General features: G+C 41.1%; 1 protein-coding gene and 1 long non-coding RNA gene across 16 annotated transcripts in view, besides 1 other annotated feature; one reads left to right on the forward strand and one right to left on the reverse strand.

Moving 5' to 3' along the window:
- PDSS2 (decaprenyl diphosphate synthase subunit 2) overlaps nucleotides 1–27,985 on the reverse strand; it is a 307,003-nt gene that overhangs the window by 122,190 nt on the left and 156,828 nt on the right. The window lies entirely within an intron of this gene.
- Nucleotides 808–26,626, forward strand: LOC124901366 (uncharacterized). The gene is made up of 2 exons (XR_007059693.1): nucleotides 808–866; nucleotides 24,668–26,626. It is a non-coding gene; the product is annotated as an uncharacterized LOC124901366 (long non-coding RNA).
- Nucleotides 8,181–8,381: a silencer, noted in NCBI's record as "peak6006 fragment used in MPRA reporter construct". NCBI's record gives its function as "represses an SCP1 promoter by STARR-seq MPRAs in K562 erythroleukemia cells {active_cell/tissue: K562}" and the evidence as "EXISTENCE:reporter gene assay evidence [ECO:0000049][PMID:32103011]".

Here is a 27,985-nt window from a genome sequence, read left to right on the forward strand (position 1 = left end):
AACCTCCACCTCCCAGGCTCAAATAATCTTCCCACTTCAGCCTCCCGAGTAGCTGGGACTACAGGTGTGCGACACCAAGCCTGGCTAACTTTTGTATTTTTGGTAGAGATGGGGTTTTGCCATGTTACCCAGGCTGGTCTTGAACTCCTGAGCTCAGGTGATCTACCTGCCTCGGACACCCAAAGTGCTGGAATAACAGGTGTGAGCCACTGCTCCTAGCTACATTATCTCTTTTAATCATAAATGCAAAGCTATGGGGTTTACAGAGATGAATACAATATGGTTTCTTCCTTCAAGGACTTTTTAACTTTCAGAATAAGAATGAAGAGAGAAACCTATAGTAGCAAATAATATAGAGAAGGCCCCTGAGGAGCTTGTAGTATAGAACTATATTTATTACACGGGAATTTCAGCAGATGTTTGTTCCTTTTTTATACTTTTCTGTAGTTTGTCTATTTTGTACAATGACAAAAGTATTACTTTTATAGTCAGAAAAAATCAACAGGTAATTACTAAAAATTTAAACATTATCACAACTTCATGATAGGTATTATTAACGTCTTTTAATAGGTGAAAAAATTGTGCACACAAGTAAAATGATTTTCCCAAGAGTACACAGTAATGTAGACCTGAAAATCTGTTGGTATCTGCTACAAATGGCCCCATGTGAGTCATGTCTTTTGGTTTCCAAGCTCCTGCATGATCCCCTTCCATGCCTGGCCATGTGACTTGCTTTGGCCAATAGGACATCAACAAACAGTACACAAGGAAAGCCTGATAAGTGCCTATGCAACTGATAAGCTTTTCACAGTCACAGGCGTTGCATGACCCCAAGCAGAAGAACACTCACGTCAATCCACAGAATGGTAAGTTGTTTCAAGTCACTAAACTATATGGGTGATTTGCTATGTAGCAACAGATATCTGATACAGAAATGGTATATCTATAAGTGGAGTGTTTGCTTTGAGTCAGAAAAATGAGGCTAGGAGGCAAAGGCTGAAGGAATGGCAAACTCTTAGTGGAAGCTGGAAAGCTACTCAGCTGCAAGTATAAACTGTATCTTACTGAAAAGGGAAAATAGGCCAGGTGCAGTGGCTCATGCCTGTAATCTCAGAACTTTGGGAGGCCCAGGTGGCAGGACTGCTTGAGGCCAGGAGTTCAACATCAGTTCAGGCAACATAGTGAGACCCTATCTCTACAAAAAATTAAAAAATAAAAATTAGCTTGGTGAGAGGGTGCACGCCTGTAGTCCCAGTTACTTGGGAGGCTGAGGTGGGACATCACCTGAGCTCAGGAGTTCAAAGTTATAGTGAACTGACTGCACTATTGCACTCTAGCCTAGCACAGAGTGAGACCCTATCTCAAAAAAAAGGAAAGAAAAGAAAAGAAAAGAAAAGGAAGCTCAGAAGGTAGAGCCAAGAACAATGGAGAAGAGTGGATTCGAGAACCATTTCCAGGGAATAGAACTGAGCCCTAATCAAGAAACATTCCTTGCTCCAAGATACAGTAGGTGGCCCAGATATATGCCCAGCTGGATTTCAGAATTGCTACAGACTAGTGACTGCTATGTACCTCCCATTTCTCCCTCTTTTTAATGGAAGTGACAACTGTGGTTATCTTCTTTCTGATTCACTGTTGCATGTTGGATAGACGGTGGTGTGTGGTTGGGGGGAGGGTGGATAACTTGTCCTTTTAGTTCCTAGGTCCCTGACTGAAGAGGGGCTGCACCCATGGAGCCACATCCATATCGAGACCTAACAGAAATCATGAGATCAGGGACTCTGAGCTTGATGTCATAAAATGGATGAGACTGGGGTCTTGGGAGGTGGTCTGTTTTGCATATGGAAGGAATGTGAAATATTGGGGCCAGAGGGCAAACTGTGGCAGAGTGTTACACCAAGTTACACTTATCAGTCACACCCTCTGATATCCAAGCCATGTATGATCTCCTTGATTGATGCTGAGTTTGACCATATGACTTGTTTGGTCAATGGGACATCGGCAAATGAGGGACAAACAGGCTTGATAAATGTTTTTGCATTGGGGCTTACACTCTTTGAATGCTAACCTGAGACTACAAGTTAAGAAACCTAATCTAGCCTCTTAGAGAATGAAAGGCAACATGGAGAAAGGTCCAGCTGTCCCAGTCAAGCCCAGCCCCCTGCACATTTACCAGGTAAACACAGACACATAAATAAATACAGGAGAAACCAGCAAAGGAACAGTCCAGCCAAACAACAGAATTATGAGAAATAAGTTGGTTATTGTTTTAAGCCACCAAGGTTTGGAGTAGTTTGTTACACAATAGATAACTAACAGAGACTCCAATCCCCAATCTATTTCTACTAGATTAGGCTGCCTTCCACATGTGCCCATTGAAAGCTTCTATCTTTCCTTTTTTTCTGTAGACCTCATCTGTGTCACAAAAGCTTTAAAAAAGTTTCCTTGAAGAAGCTAAATTTGAGCGGGGCCTGGAAAGGCAAGTAAGATTTCCATAGCTGGAGAAAAAGGACAAAACAAGAGTAGGGCTTGGGAACCCCAGAATAAGAAAGACTACACATCATGACACAGAGAAGGCAAGAGTAGAAAACGTGACCAAAGGTTGAAAAGATCAGTTTGGCTACAGTAAAGGGACTGTGTGGATAAGTGAGAGATAAGAATTTTGGAGCTTGGTTATAGCAGGTGAAATGGTCTATATTTTACACATGCAATATTTTGAGATGAAAGGATGATATATATTTTTTAATAATTTAGGAAGAAGATTCCAAAGGTGATACATAGAAAAATCTTAAAAAGTATGTAGGGAAAGTAGGGATATGGGGTGGGGGAGCTATTACAAAGGTCCAAGGAAGATGCAACAAAAGGGCTTGACCTAGGACACCGCCTTAGACATGGAGAGAAATAAATATAGAATAATCAGGCCAGGCGCGGTGGCTCAGGCCTGTAATCCCTGCACTATGGGAGGCCAAGGCGGGTGGATCACCTGAGGTAAGGAGTTCGAAACCAACCTGGCCAACATGGTGAAACCCCGTCTCTACTAAAAATACAAAAATTAGCCAGGCGTGTTGGCGGGTGCCTGACTAATTTTTGGGAGCTACTTGGGAGGCAGAGGCAAGGAGAATCACTTGAACCCGGAAGGCAGAGGTTGCAGTTAGCTGAGATTGCACCACTGCACTCTAGCCTGGATGACAGAGCAAGACTCTGTCTCAAAAATAAATGAATAAATAAAATAAATAAATAAATAAATAAATATAAAATCATCAAATAATATATGAGACTCCTCTTAAAAAAAACAGAATGGTTTAACATCTATAATAATCACATAAAGATACAATTAAAAGAACAAATTGGCATTATCAAATGCCAAGGAAAATCTCATGTCTAATTGATTTCCTTTGTTAAAAAAATTAAGAGAATATGTAAAGATGACCCAGTAGACATATTGTACTTGATTACAAATTTGGGGAGTAGAGAAAGGAAATGAACCAGTGAGTCAAATAGTATCTAAGAGTAAATTCATGGTTTAGATTAAAATCTCATTATATCCCAAAGAAAATCACTAAGAATGGAGACTTATAAGACAGTTGAAAAGTTAACAGAAGACATTTTTTTAAAGTAGAACATTTAAAATTACCGTTTAAAAAGTGACTAAAAGAAAGGAATAAAATTGTATTTTATTACTATCCTGCGAATGATTTCTAGTTTACAAAACCATTCACTGAAAAAAGTCCGCATTATCACATTTCACAAAAATCACATAATGAGATTATGGGCAAGTATAAAAGTAAAAAGCGTTAAGCATTTGGACAAGTTTTTCATGCAGTTCAGTTTATGAAAGAAAGTAATAACCAGGTAAGCAAAAAGTTGTGGTGTTTTGAATTACTCAAAGGATGAAAATGAGTGATTTTGACATCTATAGTCATAAAACAGCATTCATTAAATAAATAGAAACTTTTAAATGCCACATGACCAGAAACAACAAAAACAATGGTATGCAATAATAAAAGTGAAAGCCCATCATTTTTACAGGGTCTGCCATTTAAAAAAACCTTTCATTTATATTATCTACTTGTGATTCTAATTACAGAGGTCTGCAGAGGTTAAATACTTGATCAAGAACACTGAGTTTATACAAGGCAAAGCTGGAACTCAGAGCCACCTTGTCATAGTAACAAATGACAATTTAAAACATCTAGCTGGGCTCACGCCTGTAATCCCAGCACTTTGGGAGGCTGAGGCAGGTGGACCACTTGAGGTCGGGAGTTCAAGAGCAGCCTGGCCAACATGGTGAAACCCCATCTCTACTAAAAATACAAAAATTGGCTGGACATGGTGGCGCATGTCTGTAATCCCAGCTATTTGGAGACTGAGGCAGGAGAATCGCTTCAACCCGGGAGGCGGAGGTTGCAGTGAGCCGAGATCACACCACTGCACTCCAGCCTGGGCAACAGAGTGAAACTCTGTCTCAAAATAAAAATAAAAATAAAAATAAATGTTTATTTACCTAAGGAATAGTAGATCGTTGGGGAGGGGGAATAAGCCAAAGTTATCAATGTTACCATCACTGATATATGCCACAAATTTGTCCAATTTTTATCCCTAGTTTTGAAGCAACAGGGAAGGGAATGTTGCTAGGAAAAAAGTATATTAAGAACAGGCTTAATTCTTTTTGTTTACAGTAACTGGGGAAGGTCAAGTTGTTTGAATTCACCAGGATGAAATCAATAGTTTTAGCCTAATCAGGAATCTGGATAACAGTTCTACTTCTGCTTATTACATAAGACAATTCATGGGCAAATCCCTTAAATCAGACCCGTGGTCTTCTTGTCCCTGAAAGGAGGGGGACTGGAGCAACACATCCCTTCCAGTCCCCAAATTATAAGATTCAGGGATTTTTTTAAAAAAAGAGTTATCTAAACTGGCAGTTAATAGTTAAAAAGATTTAAAAAAATGATTACTATTATTGGTACCTATTTTTCTATAGGAAATAGGAGTGAAATGACTGGTCGTCTTTAAATCTATCCTGTAATTTCACTCTCTAGTACTGTGCTCTCAGATTCTAAGATTTTATCACCAGATAAGTAACTCTGGATCATATTTTGTAAGAGTACAATTTAGTATATGTCAGAGAAGCATTGACAGTATGAAAAAATTTGAGAAAAATTTCTTCTGGTGATCTTATTCCTATTTTAGCTACCCAAAGCAATCTATTAAACTTTCAATGCACTGGATTTTTAAAAAATTATCTTAAATAAAAGTCTTCATGCCGATTTATGTACATATATTTTAGTACTCTTGAATATTTCTCATGCTAACTCTTTTTTTTGAGATGGAGTCTTGCTCTGTCACCCAGGCTGGAGTGCAGTAACGTGATCTCGGCTCACTGCAACCTCTGCCTCCCAGGTTCAAGCAATTCTCATGCGTCAGCCTCCCGAGTAGCTAGGATTACAGGCATGCGCCATGATGTCCAGCTAAGTTTTTTGTATTTTTAGTAGAGACAGGGTTTCACCATGTTGGCCAGGCTGGTCTTAAACTCCTGACCTCAACTGATCCACCCACCTCGGCCTCCCAAAGTGCTGGGATTACAGGCCTAAGCCACTATGCTGGGCCCTCATGCTAACTCTTGATTAGAAAACAGTCACAAATAAATACAACTTATGTTAAGTAATCAGAGTAAGAAAGTAATTACCATATTGAAAGATTAATAAATGTTTTTACAAGATTTTTCACCAAATCACTTTCTTTCCATTATATGTTAAAAAATTTCATCTGCTTTTGATCTGTCCATTTTCCTCCAAAGCTTCTCAAATTTTTTTAGCATCCTAAGCTTCAGAAATCAGGGTGGCAGACATTGCTATTAATATTTGCCTATCCATTCATTCCTGTGTTTGCGCCACTGCACTCCAGCCTGGGCAACAGAGACCCTGTCTCAACAAACAAACAAACAAACAAACAACCCAAATTGTTACTTATAATAACTTGAAATCTCTTCAAATGTTTTGCATTTAAGTTGATGTTAAAATAGCAGAGTTAATTGTGTTTTGCCACGCAGACAAGGGAGATAAAAGACAACGGAGCCTGCTTTCTCTCTATCTTCTTTCCTTCCCTTTATTCTTTTTGAGAGGTTAAAAATATACAGAAAAGTACATACTCTTGACTACATTTGGAGTGGCAATGGTCCTCACTTAAAAACCTTACCTCCTCATGATCCCCTTCAGCTAGATGTGATCATGTGACACAGTCTGGCCAATGAAATGTAAGCACTAGTCTACCAGGTGGGGTTTCTGAGAAATTTACTGAGTTCCTGATATAAGGGAACAGATTCAGTTGGTGTATACCTTTGATATTTTGGGCTTACCCATGTTCCCTGACTGGAATATGGCCCAGCTGCCTGGAGGCACAGTAGAGACTTAAGGATCCTAAAGAGGGCTCCCAACCCTCTAAACCTCCTAAAGAGGGTTGGGGGCCCTCCTAAAGAGGTTTAACCCTCTTTAAGCCTGGTAGAGCAAAAAGAATTTTGAGCCCCTGCTGACTTGAGGGCTGCATCAGCTCTGATGTGTCCACCTCTAGACTTCTTGTTATCTGAGATAAACACTGCACTCTTTCAAGTCACTGTTTGTTAGAGTCTTGTTGTAAGTCTTGTTAGAGTCTTGTTATATGCAGCCAAATACATTCTGAGAAGTTATAGTCAATAAAAATTGTGACAAAAATAATAGACATCTCATGTTCATAATTCTGCACTCTGGTTTTATTCACCTAACATTATCTCTCAGAGACAGTCCTGTATCATTTAGAAGTAGAGGATCTCCTTTTTCTATTTAACATCGCTACTGAGGTCCACTGTATGAAAGTACCATACAACTTTTGGGGCTAAAGGGTTTGTGATCAATATTATTTTTTGTCTAAAGACTTTTTAATAATCAGACCATGTGTAACTTCTTTAACTTTCCCAGAGTTAGAACTCTTTCTTCTGTGCATGAAAGCCTTTGAATATGGCTCAGTCTTGTATTGACTTGACTGTAATTATTTCTTTAGCTATCTCTCTCCCTGCCACCCCCTTCCCTCACGACACTGTAAATTATACTATCCTACTTCCCTAGGCTGCCTATAAATATCTGTTAAATGAACAACTCTTTACTTAGCAATTTATTTATTTATTTATTTATTTTTTTGAGACAGAGTCTTGCTCCGTCACCCAGGCTGGAGTGCAGTGGTGTGACCTCAGCTCACTGAAACCTCCACCCCCTGGGTTCAAGCAATTTTTCTGCCTCAGCCTCCCTAGTATTTGGGATTACAGGCATGTGCCACAATACCTGGCTAATTTTTGTATTTTTAGTAGAGATGGGGTTTCGCCATGTTGGCCAGGCTGGTCTCGAACCGCTGACCTCAGGTGATCCACCCGCCTTGGCCTCCTAAAGTGCTGGGATTAGAGGTGTGAGCCACTGCACCCAGCCACCATTAATGTATAAAGGCTATAGGGCATCACTATCATTCTTAGTTTCAAAAGGGAAGGAATGACATAAACTAAAAAGTAGGGTTTATAGAATCAGAGTTGGAAGTGACCCCAGAGGTCAGTTAGTCTCTATGTATCCCCATACAGGGATTAGTGGTAACTACTTCACAGGAGCCATGTCAGCTGATGAACAGTTTTTATTTTTAGAAACAGGGTCTCACTCTGTAGCCCAGGCTGGAGTACAGTGGCGTGACCATGGCTCACTGTAACCTCAAATTCCTGGGCTCAAGTGATCCTCCTGTCTCAGCCTCCTGAGTGGCTAGGACTACAGGCACATACCACCATACCTGGCTGCTTTTTTTTTTTAATTATTTTTTGGGGCCGGGCTCCGTGGTTCATGCCTGTAATCCCAGCACTTTGGGAGGCCGAGGCGGGTGGATCACGAAGTCAGGAGATTGAGGCCATCCTGGCTAACAGGGTGAAACCCCGACTCTACTAAAAAAAAATACAAAACATTTACCAGGCAGGGTGGCAGGTGCCTGTAGTCCCAGCTACTCAGGAGGCTGAGGCAGGAGAATGGCGTGAACCTGGGAGGCGGAGCTTGCAGTGAGCTGAGTTCGTGCCATTGCACTTCTGCCTGGGCAACAGAACAAGACTCCGTCTCAAAAAAAAAAAAAAAAAGAAGAATTTTTTTTTTTTGTAGAGACAGGGGTCTCCCTATGTTGCCCAGGCTGGTCTCGAACTTCTAAGCTGAAGCAATCCTTCCATCTCAGCCTCCCAAAGTGCTAGGGAAACAGCTGTGAGCCACCGTACCCAGACTGATAAACAGTTTGGCTGGGTGTGGTGGCTCACACTTGTAATCCCAACACTTTAGGAGGCCAAGGCGGGGAGGATTGCTTCGCCCAGGAGTTCAAGACCAGCCTGGGCAACATAGGGAGACCTCATCTCAATGAAAAATGAAAAGAAAAAAATTAGCCAGGTATGGTGGTGTGTGCCTGTGATTCTAAGCTACTTGGGAGGCTGAGGCAGGAGGGTTGCTTGAGCCCAGGAAGTTGAGGCTACGGTGGGCTGTGTTTGCAACACCGCACTCCAGCCTGGGCGACAGAGTGAGACCCTGTCTCTTAAAAAGAAAAAAGAAAAAAAGAAAAAAACCCACCAGAATCGTTCCTTATAATAACCTGAAATCTCTTCAAATGTTCTGCATTTAAGTTGATGTTAAAATAGGAGAAGAATTGTCTGGGCGCGGTGGCTCACGCCTGTAATTCCAGTACTTTGGGAGGCTGAGGTGGGCAGATCACTGGAGGTTGGGAGTTCGACACCAGCCTGACCAACTTGGAGAAACCCTGTCTCTACTAAAAATACAAAATTAGCTGGGCGTGGTGTTGCACATCTGTGATTCCAGCTACTTGGGAGGCTGAGGCAGAAGAATCACTTGAACCCAGGAGGCAGAGGTTGTGGTGAGCTGAGATCGCGCCATGGCACTCCAGCCTGGGCAACAAGAGTGAAACTCCATCTCAAAAAATAAATAAATAAATAAATAAAAATAGGACGGGTGTGGTGGCTCACGCCTGTAATCCCAGCACTTTGGGAGGCCAAGGCAGGCGAATCACCTGAGGTCAGGAGTTTGAGACCAGCCTGACCAACAGGGAGAAACTCCATCTCTACTAAAAATACAAAAAAATTAGCCAGGCATGGTGGCTCATGCCTCTGATCTCAGTTACTGAGGCAGGAGAATAGCTTCAATCCAGGAGGTGGAGGTTGCCATGAGCCTAGATGGTGCCATTGCACTCCAGCCTGGGCAACAAGAGCAAAACTCTGTTTCAAAAATAATAATAATAAAATAAAAATAAATAAATAAATAAAAATAAAATAGGAGAAGAATTGTGTTTCGCTATACGGACAAGGGAGATAAAAAGACAATGGAGCCTTCTTTCTCTCTCACTAGCTTCCTTACCTCTCTTCTTTTTGAGAGGTTAAAAAAATACAGAAAAGTACAGAGAATAATATTTACATAATCTTCCACTTAGAAATAATAAATATTTACACTTTGTCATTTTTAACAGCTTTTAAATATGCTTTTTTAAAATTTTGGGAATTTTCAAACATATAAAAGTAGAAAATATTGCATCAAGAACATCTGTGGACCCAACATCCAGCTTTAAAATTTGTTAACTGGCTGGGCGCGGTGGCTCACACCTGTAATCCCAGCACTTCGGGAGGCCAACACAGGCGGATCACCTGAAGTCAGGAGTTCGAGACCAGCCTGGCAAACATGGTGAAACCCCGTCTCTACTAAAAATACAAAAATTAGCCTGGCGTGGTGGCAGGCGCCTGTAATCCCAGCTACTCAGGAGGCTGAGGCAGGAGAATCACTTGAACCCGGGAGGAGGAGGTTACAGTGAGCCGAGATGGCGCCATCACACTCCAGCCTGGAGGACAAGAGAAAGACTTCGTCTCCAAAAAAAAAAAAAAAGAGTTGTTAACCATAGTTAACCTTGTTTTAGCTACACCCTTCATTCCTCTTTCAGACTTTGAAGTAAATGCCAGATATGTCACTTCATCTGAATATTCTTCGAAAACACTATTTTAAAAAGTGCCTAATAGTGATTATGGCAACTACTTACTAAATTACTCTGAGACAATTACTGTATGCTGAACACTATGTAAAAATATTTTTGCAAAAATAACTCAATTAACAGGTTAATAAACAAAATAATATACAACTCACAACAGCTCTCTGAGGTAAGCTTTATTATCTCTTCCGTACAGAAGGCAGCTAGGCTGACAGGCTAAGTAACTTGCCCAAGTTCACACAGCTAGTTAACTGCAAAGCTGGATTCAAGCCCAGGACTCTGGTTCTAAAGCCTGGGCTCTTTGCATATCAATAGAAAACTAATAAATATCCCAAACACAACATGTGCAAATTCAGGGTCTTTCTAAAAATATTAAAATGATAGGCAAGAGTCATCCATTTAAAGTCATTTTACTTGAATCCTAAAATTTGTTTTTAAAATTGAAAAACTGATTTTTATGTTCATATGGGAAGAATAAATTTGAAAATTACAAAAAAACAAAACTTTGGAAAAAAAATAAGAGGGCTGCCGTTCTAGATTTTAAATCTTACTATAAAGTTACTGCAGTTTTAAAAAGTATAGTATGGCTGGGCGTGGAGGCTCACATCTGTAATCTCAGAACTTTGGGAGGCTGAGGCAGGAGGATTGCTTCAGCCCAGGAGTTTGCGACAAGCCTGGGGAACATAATAAGACCCCATTTTGAAGAAGAGGAAGAAGAAGAAGAAGGAAAAAAAAGTATGATATCACAAGAATAGACTAATAGATTAGTGAAATGGAATCCAGAGAGAGATTCAAATGCAAATGAATAATTATTTACGATAAAAATAACAATTCAAATCATTAGGGAAAAGATGGATTATTCTTACAAATGATATTGGGGCAATTGGCTATCATTTATGAGAAAAAAATGTTAGATCCCTATCTTACACCATAGATAAAAACATATTTAAATGGATTAACCATCTAACTGTGAAAAGCAACACTATAAATTTAGGAAAACATCCTTATGGACATGGGGTGAGATAGTTTTGCAAAACAGAATAGGAACTCAGGAAGCTACAAAGAAAACAAAGGATAGGGGGCTGGGCGCACTGGCTCATGCCTGTAATCCCAGTACTTTGGGAGGCCAAGGCGAGTGGATCACCTGAGGTCAGGAATTCGAGACTACCCTGACCAACATGGCAAAACCCCGTCCCTACTAAAAATACGAAAATTAGCTGGGCTTGGTGGCGGGTGCCTGTAATCCCAGCTACTCAGGAGGCTGAGGTGGGAAAATTGCTTGAACCCAGGAGGCAGAGGTTGCAGTGAGCCAAGATCTAGGCTGGAGCCTAGTCAAGGAGCAAAACTTCGTCGCAAAATAAAAAAAAAAAAAAGGAAAGAAAAGAAAACAAAGGATAAATTTGAGGAGTTAAAATAAACAAAAAAGTTTAATACTAAAATATACCATAGGCTGGGCGCAGTGGCTAACGCCTGTAATCCCAGCACTTTGGGAGGCTGAGGTGGGTGGATCACTTGAGGTCAGGAGTTTGAGACCAGCCTGGCCAACATGGTGAAACCCCACCTCTACTAAAAAAATACAGAAATTTGCTGATTGTGGTGGCGGGTGCCTGTAATCCCAGCTACTCGGGAGGCTGAGGCTGGAGAATTGCTTGAACCTGAGAGGCAGAGGTTGCAGTGAGCTGAGATTGCACCACTGCACTCCAGCCTGGTTGACAGAGTGAGACTCCATCTCAAAAAAATAATAAAATAATAAAATAAAATATACCATAAAAATAATGAGGCAAATACAGACTTGAAGTACTTGCAATAAATACAATAAACAAAAGATTTATATTTAAAATATATGTGAAGCTTACCCAAATAAGTAAGTTAAAGAAACAATAGCAACATGGGAAAAGGTACAAAGAGGTAATTCCAGAAGAAATACAAGTGGCCAAAAAGTATGTAAAATGATGCTCAACCTCACTAATAATTTAGAAAAGAGTGGCCAGGTGCGGTGGCTCACACCTGTAATCCCAGCACTTTGAGAGGCCAAGGTGGATCATGAGGTCAAAAGATCGAGACCATCCTGGCCAACATGGTGAAACCCCGGTTCTACTAAAAATAGAAAAAATTAGCTGAGCATGGTGGCACGCGCCTGTAGTCCCAGCTACCCGGGAGGCTGAGGCAGGAGGATGGCTTGAACCCGGGAGGTGGAGGTTGCAGTGAGCCGAGATTGTGCCACTGCACTCCAGCCTGGTGACAGAGCAAGACTCCGTCTCAAAAAACAAAACAAAACAAAAAAAAGGAAAGTATTACAATAACAATGAAATAACATTTTTAGTTCATTGACTTTGCAAAAATGAAAAAGATCAAGAAGATACAGTTTTGGTGAAGGTAGAAATTGGGGTCTCACACTGATGCCCCAAGAGCCAAATAAAGCCCACAGACATACAATTTGGCAAATAGCATTTCCAAAACTAAATTGAATTGGAAAGCCTTTGGAGCCAAGCTCTTCAGCTTGCCACAGTCTCCACCACTTCCTTTACCTTTCACATTCGCTTGAACAGCCTGACCCTTGAAGGTAGCCACTCACAGGGAAATTTCCCTGAATATACTACTGTATTGGACCTTAAGTTGGTACAATCACTTAGAAAAGTATGGTATCTAAAAAAATTAAAAATATGCATACCTCTTGACCTATGATACTCTACTGAAACAGCATAATTTTATATACCCACATAAACATTTTTTTAATTAAAAATTTTCATTTTATTTTTTTTGAGATGGAGTCTTACTCTATCACCCAGGCTGGAGTGCAGTGGTGCAATCTCGGCTCACTGCAACCTTTGCTTCCTGGGTTCAAGCAATTCTCCTGCCTCAGCCTCCCAAGTAGCTGGGATTACAGGCATACACCACCACACCTGGCTAATTTTTGTATTTTTAGTAGAGACAGGTTTTCACCATGTTGACCAGACTGGTCTTGAACTCCTGACCTCAGGTGATCCACCGAATCAGCCTCCCAAAGTGCTGGGATCACAGGCGTGAGCCACTGTGCCTGGCCCAAATTTTTATTGTATTTTAAAATTAGAGATGGGTGAGGTGGCGTGTGCCTATAGTCCCAGCTATTAGGGAGCCTGAGGTGGGAGGATAGCTTGAACCCAGGAGTTCAAGGTTGCAGGGAGCTAGCATTGCACTACTGCATTCCAGCCTGAGCGACAGAGTGAGATCCTGTCCTCTAAAGAACAAAAAAACAGTGAAATAAGAATAAAAATTAGAGATGGGGTTTTCCTATGTCAGCAGGCTGGTCTCCAACTCCTGGCCTGAAGCAATCCTCCCACCTCGGTTTCCCAAAGTGCTGGGATTACAGGCATGAGCCACAACATGTCCGTCCAACATGTTTGTTTTTAATAGTGTACATTACATAGTTTGGTAACAACAAATAATTAGAAACAAGCTAAATGTCCATTAATGTAGTACAATACTAAGTAGAAAGTAAAAAGAATGTGGTACGGCCAAATCTACGCCTTCAAAAGTTGGTAAGTGCAAAAAAAATATGAGGGCTGGAATATTTGTCTGTTTTTTCCATTATTCTATCTCCATTGTGTAGTTCAGTGCCTGGTAGGCCCTCAAGTCTTTGTTATATGAATGAATGAATGAGGAGCACAAGTTGATTTTCGGAGAAAAAGGAAAAACAATGAGAAGGAAGAAAAGAGGACAGGCAGGGAGCAGGAAATGCAGATGCTGAGATTATGAACTTTTTAATAGACTTTTTTATTTTTGGACGTTTAAACAGATTTAGATTTGGAGGGAAGTAGGGGATAGTCATTGGACAGTAGCAGACAAGCCCATCTAATACAGACAGGAGCACAGATGAGATTGGACTTGTGACTGAAGAGGGCCTTGAAAAGAGCAAGCAACGAGTTTAGGTTTTTCTAGAGCAGTATGGGGTCATTAAGGAGGGGCTGGACAATATGAAGATGCCGGGACGAAATTGTTTTTTTTTTTTTTTTTTTTTTTTGAGACAGAGTCTTGCTTTGTCGCCCAGGCTGGAGTGCAGTGGTACGATCTCGGCTCACTGCAACCTCCGCCTACCGGATTCAAGCGATTCTCTGCCTCAGCCTCCCGAGTAGCTGGGATTACACGTGTCCGCCACCAAGCCCAGCTAATTTTTTGTATTTTTAGTAGAGACGGGGTTTCACCATGTTAGCCAGGCTGGTCTCGAACTGCTCACCTCACCTCTCAGGTGATCCGCCCACCTCGGCCTCCCAAAGTGCTGGGATTACAGGCGTGAGTCACCGCGCCTGGCCGAAATTGATATTTTAAGAAATGGAGGCCGGGCGTGGTGGCTCACACCTGTAATACCAGCATTTTGGGAGGCCAAGATGGGCGTATCACCTGAGGTCAGCAGTTCGAGACCAGTCTGGCCAACATGGTGAAACCCCATCTCTACTAAAAATACAAAAATTAGAAGGGCATGGTAGCAGGCACCTGCAATCCCAGCTACTCAGGAGGCTGAGGCAGGAGAATTGCTTGAACCCGGGAGGCAGAGGTTGTAGTGAGCCGATATCGTGCCACTGCACTCCAGCCTGGGTAACAGAGCGAGACTCTGTCTCAAAAAAAAAAAAAAGAAAGAAAGAAAAAGAAATGGAGGCCAGGTGCAGTGGCTCATGCCTATCATGCCTATAATCCAAGCACTGTGGGAGGACAAGGTGGGTGGATTGCTCGAGCCCAGGAATCTGAGACCAGCCTGGGCAACACGGCGAAACTATCCCTAGAAAAAATATAAAAATTAGCTGGACGTGGTGGTGTGCCCTTGTCCTAGCTACTCAGGAGGCTTGAGGTGGGAGGATCACTTGAGCCTAGGATGTCGAGGCTGCAGTCAGCCAAGATCATGCCACTGCACTCCAGCCTGGGAGACAGAATGAAACCCTGTCTCAAAAACAAAAAGAAATGGAATATGCCAGTATAATCCAGGATGTGGAGCATGGGGAGAGATGACTATGACTGTCAAGAAGATCAGGCTACCACAGCATAATTTCAGAGAACTCTAGTTGTAAAGAGCCCATGAGGCCAAGTAGTGCAAGCTCATTAGGGAAAGTCACTCAACTTCTCCTGGGCTCAAGCAATCCTCCCGCCTCAGCCTCCTGAGTAGCTGGGACTATAGGTGCACACCACTAAGCCTGGCTAATTTTTTTTTAAAAAATGTTTTTTGTAGAGACAGGGTTTCACTTTGTTGCCCAGTCCAGGCTCAAACTCCTGGCCTTAAGCCTCGGCCCGTGATTACAGGTGTGAGGCACCATGCCTGGTCCTATTTTAGTATTTCCAGTGACAAGGAGCTGATGACTTAATGAGGACACCTATTCTGTTAAAACAGTTTTGTAAGAAGTTTATTTCTTTACACCACGATTTGCCAAACTGTAACTATCACAAAGTTGTTTCTACTTTTCTAATAATTTAGGAGTGAAATGATTAGAATGTGAACTCTAAGGTGACAACAGAGGTACACGGGGAGTGATACAAAATAATCTCATGGAAGAACTGCAGTATTGCTGTGTGACTAAATATGGAGGATAAATGAAAGATACTTTTTAGATGTGAGGCTGGAGTGGTAAAACGGTAGCAGAAACGAGGCAAGCAGGAAAATGAAACCACCAGGTCCGTTGCTCTTCTGCTCAAAACCCTCCAGTGGTCCCTATCTCACTTACTTTGGTAAAAGCCAGTCCCTATAATGGACTCCAAGTCTAATACAATCTGCCACAATTTCTCCACCCCCCGCCTCTCTGACTTCATTCCCTTTGCTTTTCCCCCTCATTCACTCTCTTCTGTGACACTAGCTTCTTTGTTATTCCTTAAACATGCCAAGCCTATTCTTGCCTCAGGGCCTTTGCCCTTTCCTCTATCTGGACTGCACTCGGCTTATGTATCTACAAGGCTTAGCCATTCACCCTCTTGAGGTCTCTGCAAAAGTGCACCTCTCTCTACATAAGGCCTTCCCTGGGCAAGCCATTTACAATAGCAACCCTGTCATCCTCATCAGCATTCTCGATCCCTACTTCCTGCTTTTTTTCCCCTCCATAGCTCTTATTGCCATGTGACATACTAGCTTTTTTCCCCCCACTTGTTTGTGTTTTATCTCTCCCCAAAGTCCCAAAGAACAGGGCAAATAATCAGGGTGGGAGCAGACGGAGAAACAGAGAAAAGCAAAAAAATTTCTAAAACATGCTTCAATAATATCAAGCTCAAACCGTTAAAAAAAAAAAAAGCATGTGAGCGCTAATGAAAAGGAAAAGCATACATACTTTTGTAAACCTGTGCCGGGTAAAAGAATCTTTCGTGATGATAACCTTTAACTAATTATAAGTGCCAAATATTAATTTTTTATAAGTAGACTTAAAGTCCTAAGAGTCATTCAATTTAAGTTGTGATAATTAGATAAACATAAGGATTTTCCTATTTTGTCATTTATTCATGTTGATAACTTAAATTAAAATGGAACTTTGTATTTGGGGTTGGCCATGAGTATATCATTCAAAATTCATCTTATTTCATTCTTAAATTTTGAAATGAGAATTCTGATTTTATTTTATAATTTTTTTTTTTTTTTTTGAGACAGGGTCTCACTCTATCACCCAGGCTGGAGTACAGTAGTGTTATTGTAGTTCAATATGACCTCAAACTCCTGGGCTCAAGGAAGCCTTCCACTTCAACCTCCTCAGTAGCTGGGATTACAGGTGCGCGCCACCATACCCAGCTAATTTTTAGTTAGTTTTTTTTTTTTTTTTAAGTAGAGACGGGGGGGTCTCACTATGTTGCCCAGGCTGGTCTTGAACTCCTAGCCTCAAGTGATCCTCCCACCTTGGCCTTCCAGAGTGCTGGAATTACAGGTATGAGTCACCATGCACAGCCTAGAATTCTGTTTTTAAAAATAGGGTAGGAAAATGAAAAATCTCAACCATGAGAGGCCAAGTGCCAGCTGGGCACGGTGGCTCATGCCTGTAATCCCAACACTTTGGGAGGCCAAGGTGGGAGGACTGTTTGAGCCCAGGAGTTTTGAGACCAGCCTGGGCAACATAGAGAGACCTCATTTCTATTTAAAAAAGAAAAGAAAAAAGAAAAATGCCAAGGCTGTAGGCCGTAATAAAGATGACCTCCAAGTAGTGATCAAGTTACAGGTTCAAGGGTTGGAAAAAATGACCAGGCCTTACTTCCAGCTCTGAGCACACACACTAAGCAATTGCTGAGGGTACTGAGAGCTCTGTGTCTCTTTTAGAAAAGCTCACCCACCATTCTAAGTTATAGTATACAGAAAAGAAGCAGAAAATAAAAAGTCTCTGCAGCTGGTCTCAGTTCAAAGAGATTAGATACTTCAGTCTATGTTAGAATCTTGCATGCCATGAAAACACAAGGTCCAAAAGTGAAGAAAAACAAATATAAAGACAAAAATCTTTTAAGTAGTACTTCAATTAAAAAAAAAAAAAACCTTTAAAACAAAAATTCTCCCATATTCAGTGCTGTAATTTAGAACTACTGGTACTTTTGCAGAAATATAATTTTAAAATAATCACAGCTTAACACAAAGACTTGCATTCATTTCCTCCCCTCTTGATTTATTTCCAAAAAAGAAAACTCAGTATTGATGTGTTCTGTAATTAACTCCCTCCATACCTGCCAGCCAATCTACAAAGAAGTAAGATGCCTTTGGTGGTGGTAGTCATACTTGAAAGAGCAGAGGGATGTTGGGACTCAGCAAGGAGTCACCATATTTATCACTAGAAATTAGCCAACCAAAAAGAAATTTGTATTGCATGGTCTCTTTATGCATGAACATAATAAAGCTCTGCTTAGTGATCAATGAACACACCTATGAGAGTACTTTAATAAAGAATAACCAAGCCAGGTGACTTACTATATTTAAGAACATTTTTCTAAATGCTGTTTTGAATAACTGAGACATACACTTGATACTGTCAACACATAATTATCCTGCAGGTCAACCAGATGCTTATGAGGAGGAGGAGGGGCAGCTAACTAATAATAATCTCTGGTTTCTAGAAACAGTTATGTGGGGCTCTTATCTGCCAGAGGAGCAGAGAGAAAGCCTAGCTAGGCATCCTTATCTAGGTTTCTAAAAGTACTTTGGGGTTTGCATGTCACAAAAGGGGTTAAAAATACTTGAGACTACCAAAAAAGCCTAACAAGACATCTGGGTGCGGCGGCTGTCACTGTCAGGGCAGCCCTTGGAGGGAATACCCGTATCAATTCGGTTTATCAGATGGACAGCTGATCAACATTAAACAGACTTGCTCTGGGCAGACTGAGCTGAGCTTCCTGACATGAATTCCAATGAAAGCCCTCCGTACTCTACCACTGAGCTCTGCCATTTTTCACTGTTGCAGCTCCCTGGACATATGGGAATCCCTAGTGATGAGCACATAAAGCTGCCTCTAACTCAAGTGACGGCTCATTTCCCCTGGCTGAAGGCAGACATTAATATCCTGAGGAGATCAGACCTGCCTCTCTGACCCCCATCTACCGAAGCAAAACGACTGTCCTATTTCTTTCTTTAATAAGCTTTTAATGAAGAAAACCCAGACCCCCTCTCTGACTGCAGCACAGTTTTACATGAAAAGGTTATACAAATACATCACATTCTGTGTCAAAGTTTTCCAAAATATCTGTCCCCCTCCCCACTGGAGAGCAGATTCTATCACTTGCCCTCCCATAGTGCTCATGCTTTCTGCCGCGGTACGGGAGTTCAGTTCTCTGCTCTGATAATTACGAATTGTATCCATGGTCTGGCAGGTGGAGGATTAAAGAACTGATTACAAAGAGCACACTGGAGTTTCCATTTTCATTACAAACCCCTTTCTTCAAGGGTTTGTCATTTAGCTATGAAAACTGCTTCAGGCACAACTGGACTGGGAGAAATGACAGTCCACTGACAACCCAGAGAGTAAACTAGAAAATGCTGCTGAGCAAAATCAGCATATGAGAAAGCTAAAAATATTTGGTGAACTGGAGTGGGCATACATACTTTGATTTTAGAAGGGGTAGAAGAAAAGATGTGTGATAGCAGATGAAGAAGACAAGCAGGCTTTTACCTATGAATACTGGAGACTGGATCAAAATAAGGGGGATCTCAATCATTATTAAAGTTTAGTGACAGGACCAACGCCAACTGCCAGGCATTGAGTTCTGAATTGCTTCACAAGAGGCTGAGGTTTGGGTTTTCTCTCCTTTAGAGAGCAAGCAGGGGTTAGGAAAAATGTGAAGGCTGCATGCTAAATGGGGCACAGTAAGCACTGTAGGAGGGAAATGTCATTCTGCAAAGACCTCTCCAGCTAAATAACAAGAGGCAGTGATGGACCAAAGAGGGAACCTTGGCAGGCTTCACTTAGGCCATCAAATGTGTCTGAGGCTGGGAAATGTGAAGGTAAGGTGGGAATAAAGGGGCAAAGATCTGTTTCCAATGAAAAAGAGTGTCAGGGCATAGTCTATACAGTGAGAAGCTTAAAATTAGATTGCATGCTCTGCTACCTAATCAACCTAGGTATCTAGAGACACAAGAACAAATCCTAAATGTCCCCCCAAATACTTCACCAAGTATTTTCATGTATAAAAGTTGAGAAATTCCTCAGAATTTTTTTTTTAATTAAAAAAAATTTTTTTTAGAGACAGGGTCTTTCTATATTGTCCAGGCTGGTCTTAAACTGCTGGCCTCAAGTGATCCTCCTGCCTCAGCCTCGTGAGTAGCTAGGACTGCAGGCTCATGGCACTCTGTACTAGGCTTCTCCTGCATGTTTAAACCATAGACAATAGGTGCCATTGGCAGGTACTAAGTGTACAGCTTAATGCGTAACTCATAACATACTATGTCCCAGATATTCTGATTTTTAAAATATAGTATCTCATTTAATCTTCACCAAGTATAGTTATTAGCCCTATTTTACAGATAAGAAAATGGAAATTCAGATATATTAACTGATTTGCCCAGGGCCTTATGACTAATAAGCAATGGGGCTAGATTTGGACTAAAATACTTTTGCTGAGGTAAAATATAATTCATCTGCTAACAAACCTCATTGCCTCCCTAAAGAAACAATTTTTTTTTGTATAATGGAATAATTGTGGGTAGCATTTACAGTCTGTCACTAGACACAGGGGTTCTGTTCTTTTTTTCTTTTTTTTGAGATGGAGTCTCGCTTGGTCACCCAGGCTGGAGTGAAGTGGCGTGATCTTGGCTCACTGCAACCTCTGCCCCACTGGGGTTCAAGCGATTCTCCTGCCCCAGCCTCCTGAGTAGCTGGGATTACAGGCGCACGCCACCAAGCCCAGCTAATTTTTTTGTATTTTTAGTAGAGATGGGGTTTTGCCATGTTGGCCAGGCTGGTCTTGAACTCCTGACCTTAGGTGATCCACCTGCCTCAGCCTCCCAAAGTGCTGGGATTACAGGCGTGAGCCACCGCGCCCGGCCAGTTCTGTTCTTAACATCTGTTATACTGTGGACTCCTTTGGCAATCTGGTGAAACCTAAGGATTCTACTAAGAAAAATGGTTTTAAACACATAACATAAATAAGATTATGAAGGATGCCAATTATGTTGAAAATAAAAATGTAATCATTTTTCCATCCAAGTTCATTGATCGCTGAATTCAACCCACATATTCCCTTGTGGGTATCTGTGAAAACCAGGTAAGTACTCTTGTGAGGAAATAGGAGGGGATGTGGGGATGAAGTGTCCCCCGCGTTGGCTAAGTGCTTTATATAGACTGTTTCATGTAATACCTCCAACAACCTGATAAAGAGAGAATCATTAAGATTTTATATGGAGATAACTTAGATTTAGAGAGGTCAAGTTATTTGCCTAATGTCACTCCAAGAGTGACCAGCACAGCCAGTGTGACCTGTGAATCCATGCTCCTTCCATTTTACCAAATTGCCAGGTAAATGTTGGGATGGGAAGAACATGGGGGTGGGGAGAAGGAAAAAGTTTGATTGGCATCACGCTACAGCAATAAATGGTCTTTTATTCCTTGACCTTATGAAAAGCCAGAAGGGAGTGACCCTAGAATAATTTTTTTTAGAGAAAAAAAATGACAACAGGTACATAACAGATTATATATCTTTTTGGTAAATAGTCTGATGTTCAATACCACCACCACCATCATCCTGTGGGAAGATTATGCATCTCCATGCTCTTAAACTCAAGTAAGGGTATGTGAATTGCTTTTGTCAATGAGAAGTGAGTTAAAAATGTCATTTCTAAGCAAAGCTGGGTCGTGGTTCACCTGGTCTCTTTTCTGACATGAGACCAGTAATGTTCCAAATGGAGGGCTGCTCCATCAGCCTTAGTCTAGGAGTAAGGATGATATGGATATGACACCTGAATAACAAGTGGACCTTTATTTTGTGAGTCATTGAGACTTCAGGGCCATTTGCACTGCAGCATAACCTAGCCTACCCTAACACATGGTGAGAATAGTCCTGAGCCTTTCCTTTGTCTAGTATGAAAGATCATGTGTACTACGTGTATGACAGAGCTGGCATTACGTACTAAGGGAGTAAGGCATTTATATGATGCCTTTGAAGCATGAGTATGAAAGATGTCAAAAATGAAATATTTATTTTTCTCACAGCCTTATATCTCTTTATTTTTGTATATAATGATTGAAAACACTGGACTCAATGGGGCATGGTGGCTCACGCCCGTAATCCCAGCACTTTGGGAGGCTGAGGTGGGTGGATCACCTGAGGTCAGGAGTTTGAGACCAGCCTGGCCAATATAGTGAAACCTCGTCTCTACTAAAAATATAAAAAATTAGCTGGGCGTGGTGGCAGGAGCCTGTAATCCCAGCTACTCAGGAGGCTGAGGCAGGAGAATCACTTGAATCCAGGAGGCGGAGGTTGCAGTGAGCCAAGATTGTGCCATTGCACTCCAGCCTGGGCAACAAGAGTAAAACTCCATCTCAAAAAAATAAATAAAATAAAACAAAATAAAAAAATAAAACACTGAACTCAATTCATCCTTTACCCAAAATAGAGTACTGCATACTTAGTAAACATTCCATAAATACTTTTTGCATTGTTATTGAAGAATGCCTGGTTTAAAAAAAGGTTATTCAACACTATGTTTATACCTCATCACAAATTTGAAACTAGAGAAAAATACGAAAATGAAACATTTAATGGTGTTGTAAGAGAAGTGGAAATCCCAAGAAAAATTATTTTCCCCTCAGTGCTTGACTGCCACCATCCACAAAGCACTGCATAGAGAGTAAACAATTACAATGGTCTAGATCTGGGAAGGGAATTAACAGAACATCAGATGGGCACTGCAGCAGGGGCCTCTCACATGGGCATAGACAAAGGAATACACCCCATCCTAACCAGTGGATGACATGGGGGTAGTGACAATTAAAAGACCAGTGTTTCCCAGAAAGGCTTCCCAAATCTCAGTCAGTCTCAGATTTAATGTTTATGCCTCAGTAAATATGAATTGCTTTTTCATAATCCTCTATTAAAAGTGCTCTTAGGGTACATATACAATATCCCTCCTTTCCTAGAAAAAATACTCCCAGAAGTATCTGGAAAACATGTAAACAGTATTTTTGGAGGTGGGAGTGAATTTTTTTTTTTTTTTGAGACGGAGTCTTGCTCCTGCCACCCAGGCTGGAGTGCAGTGGTGCGATCTCGGCTCCCTGCAACCTCCGCCTCCCAAGTTCACACCATTCTCCTGCCTCAGCCTCCCGAGTAGCTGGGGTTACAGGCGTCCGTCACCATGCCCGGCTAATTTTTGTATTTTAGTAGAGACTGGGTTTCACCATGTTGGCCAGGCTGGTCTCGAACTCCTGGCCTCATGATCCACCCGCCTCGGCCTCCCAAAGTGTTGGGATTACAGGCATGAGCCCCTGTGCCTGGCTGGGAATGAATTTAAGGCTCATGAAAGGATGAAGGTGAGATGAAGATTATATTGGAAACAAAATTTTATTTATTTATTTATTTATTTGACAGAGTCTCACTCTGTTGCCCAGGCTGGAGTGCAATGGCGCAATCTCCGCTCACTGCAACCTCCACCTCCCAGGTTCTAGCAACTCTTGTACCTCGGACACCCGAGTAGCTGGGATTATAGGCGTGTGCCACCACTCCCAGCTAATTTTTGTATTTTTAGTAGAGACAGGGTTTCGCCATGTTGGCCAGGCTGGTCTCGAACTCCTGGCCTCAAGTGATCCTCTGCCTTGGCCTCCCAAAGTCCTGAGATTACAGGTGTGAGCCACTGCCCCAGCCAGAAACAAAATTTTAAAAAACAAATCATAAATAAAATCAGTATGATGTGAAAAAGATATGAGAAGGAAAACTGGGATAGTGCATTCAGTTATTATTCCAAAGCACACTACAAATTATATGAATCCCCTATTGAGAAGAAGTAGCAGAAAGTGAGAGAAAGGTAAGGAATGAAAAGAAACACACAAACACATATAGTTGGCCATTGGTATTGGTGGGTTCTACATTCCTGGATTCAACCAACCACTGACAGAAAATACTTGTACTGAACACGAGCAGACTTTTTTCCTGGTCATTATTCCCTAAATAATCTAGTATAACAACTATTTACATAGCATCTACATTTTACTAGGTATTATAAGTAATCTGAAGATGATATGAAGCATACAAGAGGATGCACAGTGGTTATATGCAAATATAACCATTTTATATCAGAGACTATACCATTTTATATCAGGGACTTGAGCATCCAAGGATTTTGGTATCCAAGTGAGATCCTGGGACCAAGATCCATGAATATTGAGGGCAACTGTATATATACCTATATACATAGTGTAGCTTTATATACATACATGTGTGCATAGATATGCATGTGTATGTATGCATATATGTGTGTGTATATATAGGCATATGTGTTTGTACAGATGCATACATACATACATAGTTGGCTAGGTTTTAGTAAAGAGTTTGAAATCCATAAGACCTAAATGTTCTCATCCTAAGAGGTGGCCTGATCTCCCATGGGATCTGAATTGCAGTAAAAAGAAATGAGCACTCTTCCATAGCAAATGAAGTTAACAAGAAACATATACCAAATAGGACCAGGCATGGTGGCTCACATCTGTAATCCTAGCACTTTGGGAGGCTGAGGCAGGCGAATCGCCTGAGCTCAGGAGTTTGAGACCAGCCTGGGCAACATAGCAAAACCCCATTTCTACTAAAAATACAAAAATTAGCTGGTGTGATGGCACAGGCCGGTAGTCCCAGCTATTAATACTTATGGGGCTGAGGTGGGAGGATCGCCTGAGCCTGGGAGGTTGAAGCTGCAGTGAGCTGAGATCGTATCACTACACTCCAGTCTGGGTGACAAAGTGAGACCCTGTCTCAAAAAAAAAAAAAAAAAAAAAAAGAAACAAACATATACCAAATAAAGAATTAAAAGAAAAAAAACCCTCTCAGAACATTTTTTGAGATCCCAAATTCAAATTCCAGTTGTGTCTTTTTTTAAATACACTCACAGATGAGCATTATCTCATTCAAAGCAGAGAGCCACAGTGGTCTTTGTATCCAACCCAGGCATCTCACTATCTTTATTTTGCTAGATTAGCAGGATACTAAAAGTTAAAAAATGTTTTTAAAAATACACTGGTTTCCAAAGGAACCCGAAAATCCAGGAGACAACGCTAGCTATTCCTGTGAACCTCTAGAGGATCTGCACCTGCTCTTCAAGCAACAACCATGAGGAAAGTAACTAGAATTGTAGATCCCCATGGCCCTCCCTTGTCATAATTTTTCTCTTTACTGTTCTCTTACCCCCTTTCACACTCACTGCACCTCCTCCATGCTGCTGTACTACCAGTAGCTCCCCTTACCAAGAGCTTCTATGAAGAATGCGGCTTCCCGAATATATTAATGCCCCATTGTATAGGAGTTTTTCTAAATGAAACCCCACTTTCACCCCCACATCCATATGCCCCGCAACTGCTATAACTCTGCCACTCTTTGCATGCAAGCAAATACTCATTATTGGACAGGGAAAATAATTACTCCCAGTTGTCCTGGGGGCTTGGAGCCACTGTCTGTTGGACCTTACTTCACCCATACCAGTATGTCTGATGGGGGTGGAGTTCAAGATCAGGCAAGAGAAAAACATGTAAAGGAAGTAATCTCCCAATTGACTCAGGTACATAGCACCCCTAGCCCCTACAAAGGACTAGACCTCTCAAAACTACATGAAACCCTCCATACCCATACTCACCTGGTAAGCCTATTTAATACCACCCTCACTGGGCTCCATGAAGTCTCGGCCCAAAACCCTACTAACTGTTGGATGTGCCTCCCCCTGCACTTCAGGCCTACATTTCAATCCCTGTATCTTTAACCTCCTTGTTAAGTTTATCTCTTCCAGAATCGAAGCTGTAAAACTACAAATCGTTCTTCAAATGAAGCCCCAGATGCAGTCCATGACTAAGATCTACTGTGGACCCCTGGACCAGCCTGCTAGTTCATGCTCTGATGTTGATGACATTGAAGGCACCCCTCCTGAGGAAATCTCAACTGCACGACCCCTACTACGCCCCAATTCAGCAGGAAGTAGTTAAGAGGTCGTCGGCCAACCTCTCCAACAGCACTTGGGTTTTCCTGTTGAGAGGGGGACTGAGAGACAGGACAAGCTGGATTTCCTAGGCCAACTAAGAATTCCTAAGCCTAGCTGGGGAAGGAGACCGCACCCACCTCTAAACACGGGGCTTGTAACTCAGCTCACACCCAACCCATCAGGTGGTAAAAAGGGCTCACTAAAATACCAATTAGACTAAAAAGAGGAGGTAAAGAAATAGTCAGATCATCTATTGCCTGAGAGCACAGGGGGAGGGACAATGATCGGGATATAAACCTAGGCATTTGAGCCGGATGGGTAACCCCCTTTGGGTCACTTCCCGTTGTATGGGAGCTCTGTTTTCACTCTATCAAATCTTGCAATTGAAAAACAAAAAACAAAAAACACTGGTTTGCAGCGTATGTATACACACACACACGTGCATAAACACATATTCACACATATGTACACATACATACATGTATGTGTTTTACAGCAATTTGAGGTGGGCATAGGCATATCATTTATTCATTAACCCCCCCAACAGAAAACTACTGACATTTACTATTCACAGCAGGGAGTCCTATAAAGACTCCCTGAGTCTTTTAATCATCTTTTAATCTTCCCGCACCACTTTCCTATGAAAGAGAAATTTGTAGATGGCACACTTGTTTCATTTGAAATAAGCACTCATGGATTTTCATCCGAGTGAACACACATTAAGTCCACATTACAATTAAGTGAAGTGATGAAATTTGAAAGAATGTATGAAGATAGCTTTTTATAGTATATAAATTGTGATTCGCGGACTTTTTCATTACTTTGTGTGTATATATTACTCCTTTCCTTGAAAAGCAGTGGCAGCCTTTTAAACATTTCTATAGTTTTTGTGGACCTAAACAAAAACACACACTAAAGAAGAATTGTGAAATTAAGAATTGCCCGGTGTGTGCAGTGTGATTTTAGAGTAATAAAGTTTGTTTTCTGGTGAATAAACTATGTATTTCCCATTCAAAGTAACTTGCTTGAAAGTTATATTAATATATGGATACCTAAAGTGCTAAAAACACTTTACCATTTTTTGAAATAATTTACAGTTCATTTGCAAAAACAAAACAAGCATTACTTTCAGACACCTACTGTAGCTGTCATTTATATACCTTGGAGAACACATATGTTGGTGGGTATCTTATCACAGACTGTAATATTTTTTCAGTAAAAGTATGTTGACATTTTTATTTTATATTGTTGCTATTTATAATTAGTTTCATTAAAAATTCCAAACACTTGAAAAGGTAAAATGAAAATTTAAAAAAATAGTCCAGGCTGGGTTTGGTGGCTCACACCTGTAAGCCCAGCACTTTTTGAGGCTGAGGCAGGCAGATCACGAGGTCAAGAGTTTGAGACCAGCTTGACCAACATGGTGAAACCTCATCTCTACTAAAATTACAAAAATTAGCCAGGCATGGTCTGGGCTGAAGCACTGAACTCGGGAGGTGGAGGTTGCAGTGAGCCGAGATCACGCCACTGCACTCCAGCCTGGGTGACAGTGAGACTCTATCTCAAAAAAAAAAAAAAAAAAAAAAAAAGTTCAAGTAGGTAATGACTCTATATGGGCTTAAGGTTTATTTTTTAGGTAATAAAAAAGTTCTAAAATTAGATAGTAATGATAGTTGCACGACTCTGTAAATATATTAAAAATTATTGACTTGTATTCTTAAAAATGGGTGATATGTAAATGATTTCTCAATAAAACTGTTCTTTAGAAAAGTTAGCCTTCAATGAGACTATTCACAATTTTTATAGGCAGATCTGAAGTCTGAAAATAATTTATCATGCACGGTAGTAAGAGTATTTTGTAGGATCCGATTGTTTAAAAAGATATTTGGAAATGCCATCTCATTTTAAACTTTCCCTCTTTTTTTTTTTTTGAGACAGAGTCTTACACTGTTACCCAGGCTGGAGTGGTACAGTAGTGTGATCATAGCCTACTGCAGCCTCAAATTCCTGGGCTCAAAGGATCCTCCCACCTCAGCCTCCTGAATAGCTGGGACCACGGGTGCATGCCATCATGCCTGGCTAATTTTTTTTATAGAGATGAGGTCTCACTATGTTGCCGAGGCTGGTTTCAAACTCCTGGTGTCAAACCATCCTCCTGCCTCGGCCTTTCTAAACGCTGAGATTACAGGCATAAGCCACAGTGCCTGAATTAAATCTTTCCTCTATTTAACATTCAGATTGTATGTCTTTCCCTCTCTTGGATAATATTTCCTATAAAGACTTAGGGAGTCTTTAAAAAACATCACAATTATTTAATGGCCTACTTTAAAAAATATCATATAAGTCATATGAGAGTATGCTCTTCCTGTAAAAAAATTA

Source organism: Homo sapiens, chromosome 6, assembly GCF_000001405.40.
Source record: "Homo sapiens chromosome 6, GRCh38.p14 Primary Assembly".
Lineage (NCBI taxonomy): Eukaryota > Metazoa > Chordata > Mammalia > Primates > Hominidae > Homo > Homo sapiens.